The following is a 15,654-nucleotide window of genomic DNA, read 5'->3' as shown; positions in this document are numbered from 1 at the left end:
CACATCATTTATAATGTATCATAATAAAGCCTGTATCATACTATTCTTTTGAATAACAAGCTATTGTAGAGAATTTTAAATATAGATGCAATATTGCTTTGTAACAACAAACTCTATTTTTAAATAAACTTTTCATTTAGAACTATTCTTCAAAAACCTTTCATTAAAAAAAATCCAGAGAAATATGTAACATGTCACTTATGTCCAGGTATGCCCTAAGAAAAGCTCATGAGAGCAAATAAAATGATTTATGTAATATTGAAATGAAAAGTGACAATTACACAATATATAAACAAATACATAAAAGCAGACAAAGAGGTGTCAAAGTTAAGCACTTGATTTGTCTTTGGAATCAATGAAGAAACAAAATAAAAAGAAATGATTGCATTGAATTAAGCTTTGATAATGCATTACTTCACAGTTACATATAATGATTTTAACCAGCAACACTGATACATGAATATAGTATTCTAAATAACGGAAATACATATTCCTTCATTGTATATGCTTAATGTAGCTCAAAATAAATTGTTATAGACCAGATTTTATCATGAATTAAAATAGTATCAATTTACAATGTTTTATAATATACCATAAATTACCTATTTATATTCATAAGAAAGGGTAAAACCACAAATTTCTAAACATATTTTAAATGCAGAAGTACTCATTCTTACAAGTGATTCAGACAATCTGGTAATAAGGAAAACTTGAAAATTATTAAAGCCCAAAAGGAATCTGAAGTTATTCTAATTTTTGAATTATTCTAGCTCTTCCAGTTTCAATAGGGATAATACATTTTTCTCATAATGTGGCTACTTTTGTTCAAATTAGAAATGTTCTCATAACAAGAACCAACAGCAAAATTATCATTATCATTATTATAAAAATTCATAGTTTAATGAATTACATACCAGCTAGACAAAATATAGTATCTAGAAATAAAGTACTTCATTACAGGAAATTAAAATTCAATTATATTAACTGATCCTATATCCTTAAACCACAAAAAAAAGTAAACTATCACAAATCAATGATATTCTTTTACTTTGTCCTTAAGCCAAAGACAGACACTTACAAGAAAAATACAACTACCAAGGAATCTCTTGGGATTTAAAAAAATGTTTCTGTAAAGAAGCACAGCTGTTAAGCAATCTAGTCCATTTTAAATGAATTGAATAGTCAAGGCCACTTCACGAATAATTGCTAAGTACTATATTACACCTAACACTTCTGCCTAGATATTTAAAAAGAATAAAGAAAACTATGGGTAGAGATTACACAATTTCCTAATCTGTTCATAGAATTCTTACATACACCAAAGTTAGTGATTTAGGGGGAAAATGGATTCCTAAGCATGAGCACTGCCAAAAAGAACGACTAGAAATGCCTCACAATGGTCCCTATGATCCATGAAAAAAGGCAAAAAAGTATTTCTTACAGTAAATCGCCCTACTATATAGAACCATGTAAAATTGCAAGGATGACATGGATTTTCTCATTCTTTTATGTCAGAATAACTACTCACTCTCAAACATCTAATGAGTTAACTCAGACCTCTAAACACAGTGGAGTTCCATTACAAAAACAGAAATATTAATATTATTATTCCAAAATCTTAACACAGGACTCTGCTATCCATAAAGTGTTAATTTCACTTCAATATTAACCAGGACACCAATTGAAATGTCAAATGCATTCACTAACAAAAGTCGTTTTAATTTATACCTAAAACCCAATGCAATAGCAATACCACATCTTTGCAAAAAAAAAAAAAAATCTTTACAATAAGGTATAATTGACATGGTGGACGTAATAGTAAATAGATGGCCATCTTCGAAGAGGTACATTTTCAAACATAATTTAACAAACTTACCAGTAACTAAAATGCATCGGATTGTTGCAGGGCTCACAATAAACTTGCAAAATTCTGTGTACTGCCATACAAAATTTCTCTCCATTCTTGCCTATTTCCAACTCCCCTAGATACAAAGGCAAATATAAAGGATACTTCAGCCCATTCCTATATCTCCTACATACCACTTCCTGTCTAGAACACATCAGTTCATCTGCAGAGGATCTAAATATATACTATAGGATAAACCAAAAAGCAAGTATCTGTGTCAGCCAAAACTAATACAACATAGAAAATTCTCTTGAAAAGTATAGCAATACCTAGGAACAGATTTTCATAGGAGTATTTTACTTCATAGACCAAAAGTATGCTGATTATTATGTCATGATATATAATTGCTAAACTTTTCAACAGACAGTACCATAATACATGTTCTGTAAGTAGCAATTCTACTTCAAGAATGGATAAGAGTTTGTAATCCTGTATCTTTTTAAGGAAAATGATGTTAATAACCTAGTGGGTGTTTTTTCTTAAAAATAATTACCACCTTGTAATTCTTAATAAGCTTCATTTAAGTTAGAAACTAACATTTATTTCAAGTATCATATTTTAAAGGGCTAGACCATGGGAAAAAAATGAAAGAAATAGTATAATAATATCTCTTATAAATTAGCATATTTATTACTTCTCCAGAGCTTTTTGGCCTTTATTGATAAAGAATACCACAACAGTCTTGGCCCACAAATACCTGAGAATATTTATTAACTATGTATAAACATAACTAATTTGTTTATAATAAAATATATATATTTATATTCCATTAAAATTTAAATATAGATTTTGACTTATTTTACTGTAACTTTATCCATTTCAATTTGTATTTAATTTTTTTAATAACTAATGTAGATAACTCATGTAATGTGATCCATAAAGTTTTATTATCTTTGAGGTACTTATATTATTTAGAATTCAATATATCATAAAGATACAACTAATTCATAACTAAAATGATTAAGAGTGAATATATAAACCTAAGTTCTGTTCAAAGGTAGCTCTCTGAAGACATAAACTGGCTATTCAATTTGGTTTTTACTGAAAAAGCTAAGTACCACAGCTAGATTGGCTTTTTAAATAAACACCTTTTTATTAAGAAGACTGGAAATACCTTACATAAAAAGTAAAGATTCCCCCTAAAATCCAATACCTCCACCCCTTTTAAAAGAATGTTGCAAAGTAATTGATTAAGTAGATTAAGTTCCAAATCAGATTTACGGTATCAGTAAGGGGGAAAAATCTTTTGACATTTTTAAAAGGTTTCATCTCTTAAGCCTAATTTAGGACTGAATTACAGTGAAATATTTTAAAAGATGATTAAAATTATGTAAAATATTTAATATCATATTTCTATAGTATTTCTCTCACTACAAAACTATTCCTAAATGAGAGTGATCATAGCAGAAATAATTGATTTCACTGTACGTTAATCAATTCAAGTCCACACCCAAGACAATTTCGCATCCAAGATAATTTTCGGTGACACACAAAAAACTCACAATAAGTTGTAAGAGTTAAATTTCCTTCACAGTTCAACATTAGAAAGGGCTAAACCACATGTTTCTAACTCCAGGTATATTTAGCAGTCACTTTTAGACAACGCCCTCATGAAGATGTGATCTCAAAGAAGACCAATGCCTACATAGGCGGTAAATGCAGAATGAAATAAGGAAAACTGTGAAATGCAACACAGTAAAATACAAGGACAGATGGATACATAAGATAGCACATGAAATCACTGAGTCTGCCCGGAGCCATGAAATCTCTTCTCAGTAATTTCTACCTTTTTCTTCATCCTGATAAAAAGGCAAGGCAGCCTTATAAACTGAATTGCTACCACTGTCATGGATATTTAAGAGCATTCCTTAGAGACTCTATTAAAAGTGAGGTTATTACTCATTTATATCTTCCTTTGTCTTGTCAGAGATTTTTAATTTTATGTTGTATAGCGTATTTTATTTTTGACAAATATAGTTTTAAGAAGTATAAAAAAGTGCTTGAAATGTGTCAATTTGTCTTCTGAGGAAAACAAAATGTTAAAATTTTCATATGTAAAAAAATCATTATAAATCTCTTATATTACTATATATTAGTATATAGTATGTAACAAAATTTATATAGTTTGAGAGCAAAATGCCTTTTTATTATAAGCTCCTTTCATATATTTACTAAAAGCCTTCAAAGGTAAAAGAAATAACTTTCAAAGCCTAATAGTACCACAGATTAACCACAACTAACAAACCACCCCTTACAGTGCACTAAATGTTGTAGTCACTTTATGAAAACGTCCTGGACGTTTTACAAATGGCAGCCACCACTATAGTAAATATGGATAGATGAATGCTTTAGAAATTTAATAATGTAACTTCCTAACCCCTAAGGAGAACTTAAGTTCTAAATTGGAAACAGGTCATAATTACACATGGATGATCTTAACTATTTATGCATACTCTAATGCCCTTCAAGGTCAAAACATGCCACAGCAGGAAGGCCAAATGCCCAGTCCTTTATCTTGGTGCTGGCTCCACTTTCACCCAAGCCCCAACCTATTTAAGAGAAATAGGATTAACATACACTAGAAGTGCTGGAATTCGCAAATGCAAGAAAATAAACAGATAAACAGCTGAATACACAAAGTTGAAACAATTCTTTAATACTTAGGCTTTACACAGGTCAGGAATTTTCTATTCTTTTAATAGTTAATTTTATTTTTTAAATGACCATGCAGTGAAATTTCTCTTTTTTTTTTTTTTGGTGTACCAGTTTGAGAATGTTAAATAGATACATAGATTTGTATAACCACCACCACAATCAAAATATAGCCCAGTTCTATCACACCAAAAAATTCACTTGTGCTATCACTTTTCAGCTTTATAGCCACACCTTCTCAATACCCATAGGCTCTAGTACTTATCCCTTTTCTCTATCACTACATATTTTTACTTTTCAAGAATGTGACATAGATGGAATCATACAGTCTGTAGCCTTCTAAGTCTCCCTTTGTAAGCTCAGCATATTGCCTCTGAGAGGCATCCAAGTAAGTACATACATCGAGTCCATTCTTTTTAGTTGATGAGTATTAATGGATGTACCACAGCTTGTATACCCATTCATTTGTAAAAGCATTTGGGTTGTAGAATAGCAATTGTGAATAAGGCTACTATAAACATTCACATAAAGGCTTTTGTGTGGACATGATTTCCATTCATTTCTCATAAATAAATGCCGAGGAGTAGAAAGGCTGAACTATACAATAAGTGTATATTTAACTTTATAATAAACTGCCAAACTGTATTTCAGACTGGCTGAACCATTTGGCAATCCCACCAGTAACAGGTTCTAGTTGTTCTCACATCCTTGCCAGTATTTAGCACAACAGCTATTTTTTATTCTACTAGGTATATAATGGTTTTATATAGTTTTAATTTACATTTATCTGTTGGTTAATAATGTTGAGTATCTTTTCATGAACTATTTTGACATCCTTATATTCTCTTTGGTAAAGTGTCTACTCTTTTGTCCACTTTTAAAAACTGAATTGTAGTCTTATTGTTAAGGACTGAAAGTCCTTTATTTATTCTTGACATAAATCCTTTGTCAAATAAGCAATTTGCTGTTATCTTCCTCCAGCCTGTACTGTGTCTTTTCATTGCATCTTTAGCATAGCAAAAGTTTTTAACTTAGACAAAGTCAAAACGAAATTTATCCCTTTTTTAGTGAATTATGCTTTCGTCGTCACAACTAAGAAAGCTTTGCCTACCCTAAGTCCCATAAATTTCCTTATACGTTTCCCATAAAAGTTTTAGAGTTTCATGTTTTATATTTAGACTTAGTTTTTTGTTAAGTTTCATATAAATTGTGAGGTTTAGGTCAAAGCACATTTGTTTGGCATATGATTATCCTTCCTCCATTAGACTACTTTTGCACCTTTGCCAAAAATTAATTGTCCATATATGTGTGGGACTATTTCTGGACTCTATTCTGTTTCACTGATATATGTGTTTACTAATATTACTCGGTCTTCATTATTACAGCTTAAAAGTCAGTCTTAAAGTCAGTTAAGTATAATTCTTCCAACTTTATTCTTTTCCAAAACTGTTTTAACTATCCTAGTTACTTTGTCATTCAACATAAATTTTAGACTCATCTTGTCTACATTAATGAACATATTCAGCTAGGATTTTAATTGTTATTATGTTACATGTATCTACCAATTTAATGACATCTTTATATGTTAAGTCCATGAATATGATATAGCCCTAAACTTATTCAGATCTTTGATTGCTATCATCAGAAATTTGTAGTTTTCAGCATACACATCCTGTACATGTTTTGTGAAATTTATATCTCAGTATTTAACATTTTTGATGCTGTGGTTAATGTTATTTTTAAATGTGGTTTCACATTGTACATTGTTAATATAAAGAAATACAAGTCATTTTTGTATGAGAACCTTGTATCTTGTGACACTAGTATGCTAAACATGGCTTACTAGTGCTAGAATTTATGTGTAAGTCATTTCCTTGAGAATTTTTACATAGACAATCATGTCATCTGTGAAAACAGATAATTCTATTTTTCCTTTATAATCTGTATGACTTTCATTTTCTTACCTTATTGTAGCAGCTACAACTTGTAATTTGGATTAGATCCATGTATGCACAACTCAGGACTGAATTTCATTAAAAAATTTTACAGGGTTACTTTCTCATGTTCTTCCCTTTCCATGACATCCCTGATATTTTCAGTTCTGAGGCTCTTCTTTTCAGTTCTTCTGTCAAAACGCTGGGGCTTTAGTTTCTCTGCTCTGCAATGTATTCTACAAGTCTGTTCATATCCAGGGCCACTGGCAGAAAGGCAGAGAGATTAAGAAGAAAAGGGTGTTTGTCCCACCCTCTTAGGACTCTAGCTCCACTGATCAAAGAAAAGCCTCCCTCAGAGTTTTGGCTTCTATAGCCTTCCATTGGTGATAAGACCACATGAGGGCTGGGCCATAACAGAACAACGTGAAGAAAAGAAAAATTAACAGGGCACTCAGAACTAGAGGATTTCTCCCAGAGTTGTCTCTCACTGCACCCTGGTGCACAATTTCAGGTTTTCAATCCATTTAATTCATGTTAGGGGATAATAAAGGGACAAAAAGTATAGTGAACTCACTTCCAGTTCAAAGGCACTGTGAATTCTGCTCTTGTTCCCCATTCTACCTGCTATTATTCACTTTTCAGAGCTGTGAAATAGTGGCTGTGTGAATTCTGTCCATGTAGGGTGTTTTTCTTGCATTGAGTAGGAGAAACAGGGTAGAGTGTGCTCACTCTACCTTAACCAGAATTGGAACTGATTTTTTTGTATTCTTACTGACTTGAATGAAGCTCCAAACTAAGATGACTCAAAAAATCCTTCTGAGTCCCCACATCTTGATCTCAACATACTAATTAGACAGAGTTGTTCAATATGCCCAGATATTGGCATATAGCATCACATCAGTTAAAGTCAGGTTTAATACTGCTATGCCACCACATCCCTAATAGTTGTCAAATCCTTTCACACCAAAACCTATAATTCTAACCAAGAACCATTGCAACCCATTAATTTTACCAGCTAAGAAACCAAGTATGCTAGAGACAATGTTTGTTATTAATAATTCTCATGTCATTTTCCTACTTCGTGTGTATACAGAAGACATTTCCTAACCCCATTATAGTTAATTATGTGACTAAATCAACTAAATGTTATCAGAAATCTCTTGTGGGTTGCAACAATGAAAAACCTATGCATAATTCTCTAGTCCCTCTCCCCGCCTCCTACAATGAATACTGGGCTACTCTGAAATAGGATGGTGAAACCCAATACCTTAGATTGCTGAAGAAACTATATTTGATTACAGGAACACTACATAAACCTTTACTGTATAAAGCCACTAAGGTCTCATGGCTAATTTGATATCATATAACCTACACTGACTAATACAGCCAGATTTTTATTTATTTATTTATTTATTTATTTATTTTATTATACTTTAAGTTTTAGGGTACATGTGCACATTATGCACATTAGTTACATATGTATACATGTGCCATTCTGGTGCGCTGCACCCACTAACTCGTCATCTAGCATTAGGTATATCTCCCAATGCTATCCCTCCCCCCTCCCCCCACCCCACAACAGTCCCCAGAGTGTGATATTCCCCTTCCTGTGTCCATGTGATCTCACTGTTCAATTCCCACCTATGAGTGAGAATATGCGGTGTTTGGTTTTTTGTTCTTGTGATAGTTTACTGAGAATGATGATCTCCAATTTCATCCATGTCCCTACAAAGGACATGAACTCATCATTTTTTATGGCTGCATAGTATTCCATGGTGTATATGTGCCACATTTTCTTAATCCAGTCTATCATTGTTGGACATTTGGGTTGGTTCCAAGTCTTTGCTATTGTGAATAATGCCGCAATAAACATATGTGTGCATGTGTCTTTATAGCAGCATGATTTATAGTCCTTTGGGTATATACCCAGTAATGGGATGGCTGGGTCAAATGGTATTTCTAGTTCTAGATCCCTGAGGAATCGCCACACTGACTTCCACAATGGTTGAACTAGTTTACAGTCCCACCAACAGTGTAAAAGTGTTCCTATTTCTCCACATCCTCTCCAGCACCTGTTGTTTCCTGACTTTTTAATGATTGCCATTCTAACTGGTGTGAGATGGTATCTCATTGCAGTTTTGATTTGCATTTCTCTGATGGCCAGTGATGATGAGCATTTTTTCATGTGTTTTTTGGCTGCATAAATGTCTTCTTTTGAGAAGTGTCTGTTCATGTCCTTCGCCCACTTTTTGATGGGGTTGTTTGTTTTTTTCTTGTAAATTTGTTTGAGTTCATTGTAGATTCTGGATATTAGCCCTTTGTCAGATGAGTAGGTTGCGAAAATTTTCTCCCATTTTGTAGGTTGCCTGTTCACTCTGATGGTAGTTTCTTTTGCTGTGCAGAAGCTCTTTAGTTTAATTAGATCCCATTTGTCAATTTTGTCTTTTGTTGCCATTGCTTTTGGTGTTTTGGACATGAAGTCCTTGCCCATGCCTATGTCCTGAATGGTAATGCCTAGGTTTTCTTCTAGGGTTTTTATGGTTTTAGGTCTAACATTTAAGTCTTTAATCCATCTTGAATTAATTTTTGTATAAGGTGTAAGGAAGGGATCCAGTTTCAGCTTTCTACATATGGCTAGCCAGTTTTCCCAGCACCATTTATTAAATAGGGAATCCTTTCCCCATTGCTTGTTTTTCTCAGGTTTGTCAAAGATCAGATAGTTGTAGATATGCAGCGTTATTTCTGAGGGCTCTGTTCTGTTCCATTGATCTATATCTCTGTTTTGGTACCGGTACCATGCTGTTTTGGTTAGATTTTTTTTAAAAAAAGTTTGTATACTACTATGTATTTCAGAGACCCTACCAGCCTAATATCTAATTCTTAGTTATCTTTCATATCAAGTACTCCAATAAACTTGACCCAGAATACACTGGAAAAGCCAAATTTTTACTAAGTTCTACTAAAAACATCACCTTGCATTTTCCTAAATAGAAGCTATCTGGGATACCCCCAGACCATATAGTTTGAGAAATCCACATGGCTATGGCTAACCATGGAAATTGGATTATATTACAATAGCTCAACGACCATAAAAACTGGCAGGCTGTCATCACAGAACCAGAAAACTGAAAAGATTTATCAGTTTCCTAAATAACGTCTGTCCAAAGTCCCTATATTGAGTTTTCCTAATTATATTAAACCTGTTACCTTTCTTTTGAAGTATGGAATTATTTAGGGTACATTAAGGGAGATTCAAAAGAACAAACAATATCCAATTGCTCACTGAAGTTCTCCCCTTAATCTCATAGCAGCTTGCTTGCCTTTTGGATTGCATTCAGTAGCTATGGCTGCAATAATAATGGAGGATTTTTCAACCTCCGTAATAGATTCCTGTCTGACACTAACTATGGTAGGTGATACCTCAGTACCTATCCAAAATACCAAAACACTGCACCTTTCTAATGCCTGGAAAATATAAAGTCTTCTTCTTCCCTGTGTTACATTACTATTGGTGCCCCGTACCAACCCCTTTACTCCAAACTCCAGCTATAGAAAACTTGACCACTTGATGAAAACCAACATCGTTTAACAAACCTCCTACTTCAAAATCTTCATCTTATCTCTAATGTACGTCAAATATAGTCTACAAGGTTCTCTGGTTATACCATTTGTTCCTACATCAAGTAACAAAACGTTTTATTTTGCCTTCTGACTATTCTGTCCAAGTGTCTGAAATTGTCTAAAGTTGATGCTCTCTCTAGAGCATATATCCATGCCTTTCATAAATGTCTACTTTTGGGCTGTAATGTTGATAGATGCCATGACTTCTTTTACAGTTCTGAAGCTGTTCATGATTTTACACAATCATATAATAAGAATTCCTTGCCTACTATTGAAAAAAATCTCTCTGGAATATTATTTTAATGCTACTTTATGACTTACATCATTTACAACTTCCTTCTGCCGTAACTATTATAAAATTCATTGCTGACCAAAAGCTGTATGATGATGTTAATAGTGGCTCATGCTTCAGCCAAAGCTGTAATCCCTTCCACTTCCAAATTCATACTTTTAATGTTGTGCTGACTGGACTTCTCCAGAGTGTACTCTAAAATTTCCTTATATAAGATTAGGTACCAACTTTAGTGGAAGCATTTTAATATAAATATTTTAATTTTTAAATATAGACATGAAATCTCTTCCTAGATCAATATCTTGAAGTGTTTTCACCATGTTTTTTTCTAGTTGTTTTATTGTTTCAGTACAAATATTTCATGGTTAAGACCTCAAAAGTACAGACAACTATAATAAAAATAGACAAATGAGACTATATAAAACTAAAAAGCTTCTACACAGCAAAGGAAACAATCAAAAGAGTGAAGAGACAATTTGTGTTTGAACTGGAGAAAATATCTGCTAACTATTCATCCTACAAGAGACTAATATCCAGCACATACAAGGAACTCAAACAACTCAACAATAAAAAAAAAATAACCCCATTAAAAAGTGGGCTAAGGACGTGAACATACATCTCTCAAAAGAAGACACAGAAATTGTCAACAGGTATATGAAAAAATATTCAACATGACTAAGCATAAGAGGAATGCAAATCTAAACCACAATGAGGCATCAACTTACCCCAGTTAGAGCAGCTATTATAAGTAGAACAAAAAATAACAGGTGCTGGTGAGGATCTAAAGAAAATGGAACTTTTGCACACTGTAAATTAATACAACCACTATGGAAAAGAGTGTGGAGATGTTTCAAAGAGTTAAAATAGAACTACCATTCGACCCAGCAATCCTGCTACTGAGTATTTATCCAAAGGAAAGGAAATCTGTATATCAAAGTGATACACGCACTCACATGTTTAACACAGCGCTATTCACAAAAGCAAAGCTATGAAATCAACCTAAGTTTCCATCAACAGGCAAATGGCTAAAGACATTCTCACTCATATGTGGGCACTAAAACAATTGATCACATGGAGGCAGATAGTAAAAAGATAGATACAGAGTCTGGGAAGGGTACCAGGGTAGCAGGAGGAATAAACAAAGGTTAGTTAGTCGGTACAAACATACAGTTAGATAGTTGGTCAAAGTTCTCATGTTTAATATCAGTGTAGAGTGACTATAGTTTGCAACAATGTAGGGCACATTTCAAAGTAGCTGGAATAGAGGACTTAAAATGTTACCAAAACGGCTTAGGATTGACTTGGCAATGCGGGCTCTTTTTTGGTTCCATATGGACTTTAAAGTAGTTTTTTACAATTCTGTGAAGAAAGTCATTGGTAGCTTGATGGGGATGGCACTGAATCTATAAATTACCTTGGGCAGTATGGCCATTTTCACGATATTGATTCTTCCTACCCATGAGCATGGAATGTTCTTCCATTTGTTTGTATCCTCTTTTATTTCATTGAGCAGTGGTTTGTAGTTCTCCTTGAAGAGGTCCTTCACGTCCCTTGCAAGTTGGATTCCTAGGTATTTTACTCTCTTTGAAGCAATTGTGAATGGGAGTTCACTCATGATTTGGCTGTTTGTCTGTTATTGGTGTATAAGAATGCTTGTGATTTCTGCACATTGATTTTGTATCCTGAGACTTCGCTGAAGTTGCTTATCAGCTTAAGGAGATTTTGGGCTGAGATGATGGGGTTTTCTAGATATACAATCATGTCATCTGCAAACAGGGACAATTTGACTTTCTCTTTTCCTAATTGAATACCCTTTATTTCCTTCTCCTGCCTGATTGCCCTGGCCAGAACTTCCAACACTATGTTCAACAGGAGTGGTGAGAGAGGGTATCTCTGTCTTGTGCCAGTTTTCAAAGGGAATGATTCCAGTTTTTGCCCATTCAGTATGATATTGGCTGTGGGTTTGTCATAAATAGCTCTTATTATTTTAAGATATGTCCCATCATTACCTAATTTATTAAGAGTTTTTAGCATGAAGGTTGTTGAATTTTGTCAAAGGTCTTTTCTGCATCTATTGAGATAATCATGCGGTTTTTGTCATTGGTTCTGTTCATATGCTGGATTACATTTATTGATTTGCATATGTTGAACCAGCCTTGCATCCCAGGGATGAAGCCAACTTGATCGTGGTGGATAAGCTTTTTGATGTGCTGCTGGATTCAGTTTGCCTGTATTTTATTGAGGATTTTTGCATCGATGTTCATCAGGGATATTGGTCTAAAATTCTCTTTTTTGGTTGTGTCTCTGCCAGGCTTTGGTATCAGGATGATGCTGGCCTCATAAAATGAGTTAGGGAGGATTCCCTCTTTTTCTATTGATTGGAATAGTTTCAGAAGGAATGGTACCAGCTCCTCCTTGTACCTCCGGTAGAATTCGGCTGTGAATCCATCTGGTCCTGGACTTTTTTTGGTTGGTAAGCTATTAATTATTGCCTCAATTTCAGAGCCTGTTATTGGTCTATTCAGAGATTCAACTTCTTCCTGGGCTAGTCTTGGGAGGGTGTATGTGTCGAGGAATTCATCCATTTCTTCTAGGTTTTCTGGTTTATTTGCATAGAGGTGTTTATAGTATTCTCTGATGGTAGATTGTATTTCTGTGGGATCGGTGGTGATATCCCCTTTATCATTTTTTATTGCATCTATTTGATTCTTCTCTCTTTTCTTCTTTATTAGTCTTGCTAGCGGTCTATCAATTTTGTTGATATTTTCAAAAAACCAGCTCCTGGATTCATTGATTTTTTGAAGGGTTTTTTGTGTCTCTATTTCCTTTAGTTCTGCTCTGATCTTAGTTATTTCTTGCCTTCTGCTAGCTTTTGAATGTGTTTACTCTTGCTTCTCTAGTTCTTTTAATTGTGATGTTAGGGTGTCAATTTTAGATCTTTCCTGCTTACTCTTATGGGCATTTAGTGCTATAAATTTCCCTCTACACACTGCTTTGAATGTGTCCCAGAGATTCTGCTATGTTGTGTCTTTGTCCTCGTTGGTTTCAAAGAACATTTTTATTTATACCTTCGTTTCATTATTTACCCAGTAGTCATTCAGGAGCAGGTTGTTCAGTTTCCATGTAGTTGAGCGGTTTTGAGTGAGTTTCTTAATCCTGAGTTCTAGTTTGACTGCACTGTGGTCTGAGAGACAGTTTCAGTTTGTTATAATTTCTGTTCTTTTACATTTGCTGAGGAGTGCTTTACTTACAACTATGTGGTCAATTTTGGAATAGGTGTGGTGTGGTGCTGAAAAGAATGTATAGTCTGCTGATCTGGGGTGGAGAGTTCTGTAGATGTCTATTAGGTCCGCTTGGTGCAGAGCTGAGTTCAGTTCCTGGATATCCTTGTTAACTTTCTGTCTCGTTGATCTGTCTAATGTTGACAGTGGGGTGTTAAAGTCTCCCATTATTATTGTGTGGCAGTCTAAGTCTCTTTCTAGGTCTCTAAGGACTTGCTTTATGAATCTGGGTGCTCCTGTATTGGGTGCATCTATATTTAGGACAGTTAGCTCTTCTTGTTGAATTGATCCCTTTACCATTATGTAATGGCCTTCTTTGTCTCTTTTGATCTTTCTTGGTTTAAATCTGTTTTATCAGAGACTAGGATCACAATCTCCGCCTTTTTTTGTTTTCTGTTTGCTTGGTAGATCTTCCTCCATCCCTTTATTTTAAGCCTATGTGTGTCTCTGCACATGAGATGGGTTTCCTGAATACAGCACACTGATGGGTCTTTTAATTGGAGCATTTACCCCATTTACATTTAAGGTTAATATTGTTATGTATCAATTTGATCCTGTCATTATGATGTTAGCTGGTTATTTTGCCCATTAGTTGATGCAGTTTCTTCCTAGCCTTGGTGGTCTTTACAATTTGGCATGTTTTTGCAGTGGCTGGTACCAGTTGTTCCTTTCCATGTTGAGTGCTTCCTTCAGGAGCTCTTTTAGGGCAGGCCTGGTGGTGACAAAATCTCTCAGCATTTGCTTGTCTGTAAGGATTTTATTACTCCTTCAATTATGAAGCTTAGTTTGGCTGGATATGAAGTTCTGGGTTGAAAATTCTTTTGTTTAGGAATTTTGAATATTGGCCCCCACTCTCTTCTGGCTTGTAGAGTTTCTGCGGAGAGATCAGCTGTTAGTCTGATGGGCTTCCCTTTGTGGGTAACCCGACCCTGGAGGCATCACGCTACCTGACTTCAAACTATACTACAAGGCTACAGTAAGCAAAACAGCATGGTACTGGTACCAAAACAGAGATATAGACCAATGGAACAGAACAGAGTCCTCAGAAATAAGGCCACATATCCACAACTATCTGATCTTTGTCAAACCTGACAAAAACAAGAAATGGGAAAGGATTCCCTATTTAATAAATGGTGCTGGGAAAACTGGCTAGCCATATGTACAGAGCTGAAACTGGATCCCTTCCTTACATCTTACATAAAAATTAATTCAAGATGGATTAAAGACTTAAATGTTAGACCTAAAACCATAAAAACCCTAGAAGAAAACCTAGGCAATACCATTCAGGACAGAGGCATGGGCAAGGACTTCATGACTAAAACACCAAAAGCAATGGCAACAAAAGCCAAAATTGACAAATGGGATCTAATTAAACTAAAGAGCTTCTGCACAGCAAAAGAAACTACCATCAGAGTGAACAGGCCACCTACAGAATGGGAGAAAATTTTTGCAATCTACTCATCTGACAAAGGGCTAATGTCCAGAATCTACAATGAACTCAAACAAATTTACAAGAAAAAAACAAACAACCCCATCAAAAAGTGGGAGAAGTATATGAACAGACACTTCTGAAAAGAAGACATTTTTGCAGGCAAAAGACACACGAAAAAATGCTCATCATCACTGGCCATCAGAGAAATGCAAATCAAAACCACAATGAGACACCATCTCATACCAGTTAGAATGGCGATCATTAAAAAGTCAAGAAACAACAGGTGCTGCAGAAGATGTGGAGAAATAGGAACACTTTTACACTGTTGGTGGGACTGTAAACTAGTTCAACCATTGTGGAAGTCAGTGTGGCGATTCCTCAGGGATCTAGAACTAGAAATATCATTTGACTCAGCCATCCCATTACTGGGTATATATCCAAGGGATTATAAAACATACTGCTATAAAGACACATGCACACATATGTTTATTGAGGCACTATTCACAATAGCAAAGACTTGGAACCAACCCAAATGT

The 15,654-nt window shown here is 34.5% G+C and overlaps 1 protein-coding gene across 13 annotated transcripts in view; it reads right to left on the bottom strand.

Annotated features, from left to right (window-relative positions):
* Window positions 1-15,654, bottom strand: part of NBEA (neurobeachin) — a 730,467-nt gene that overhangs the window by 574,759 nt on the left and 140,054 nt on the right. The window contains exon 2 of one of the 13 annotated variants that reach the window (XM_011535046.2): window positions 1,877-1,982. The exons of the other annotated variants lie outside the window; for them this stretch is intronic. Within the exon in view, the coding sequence (XP_011533348.1) occupies window positions 1,877-1,982 (106 nt within the window). The remainder of the gene's footprint in view (window positions 1-1,876; window positions 1,983-15,654) is intronic. 13 annotated transcript variants of the gene reach the window in all.

The sequence above is a fragment of the Homo sapiens genome, chromosome 13, assembly GCF_000001405.40.
Source record: "Homo sapiens chromosome 13, GRCh38.p14 Primary Assembly".
In the NCBI taxonomy this organism is placed as follows: domain Eukaryota; kingdom Metazoa; phylum Chordata; class Mammalia; order Primates; family Hominidae; genus Homo; species Homo sapiens.
This window is presented reverse-complemented; position numbering and strand designations above follow the sequence as displayed.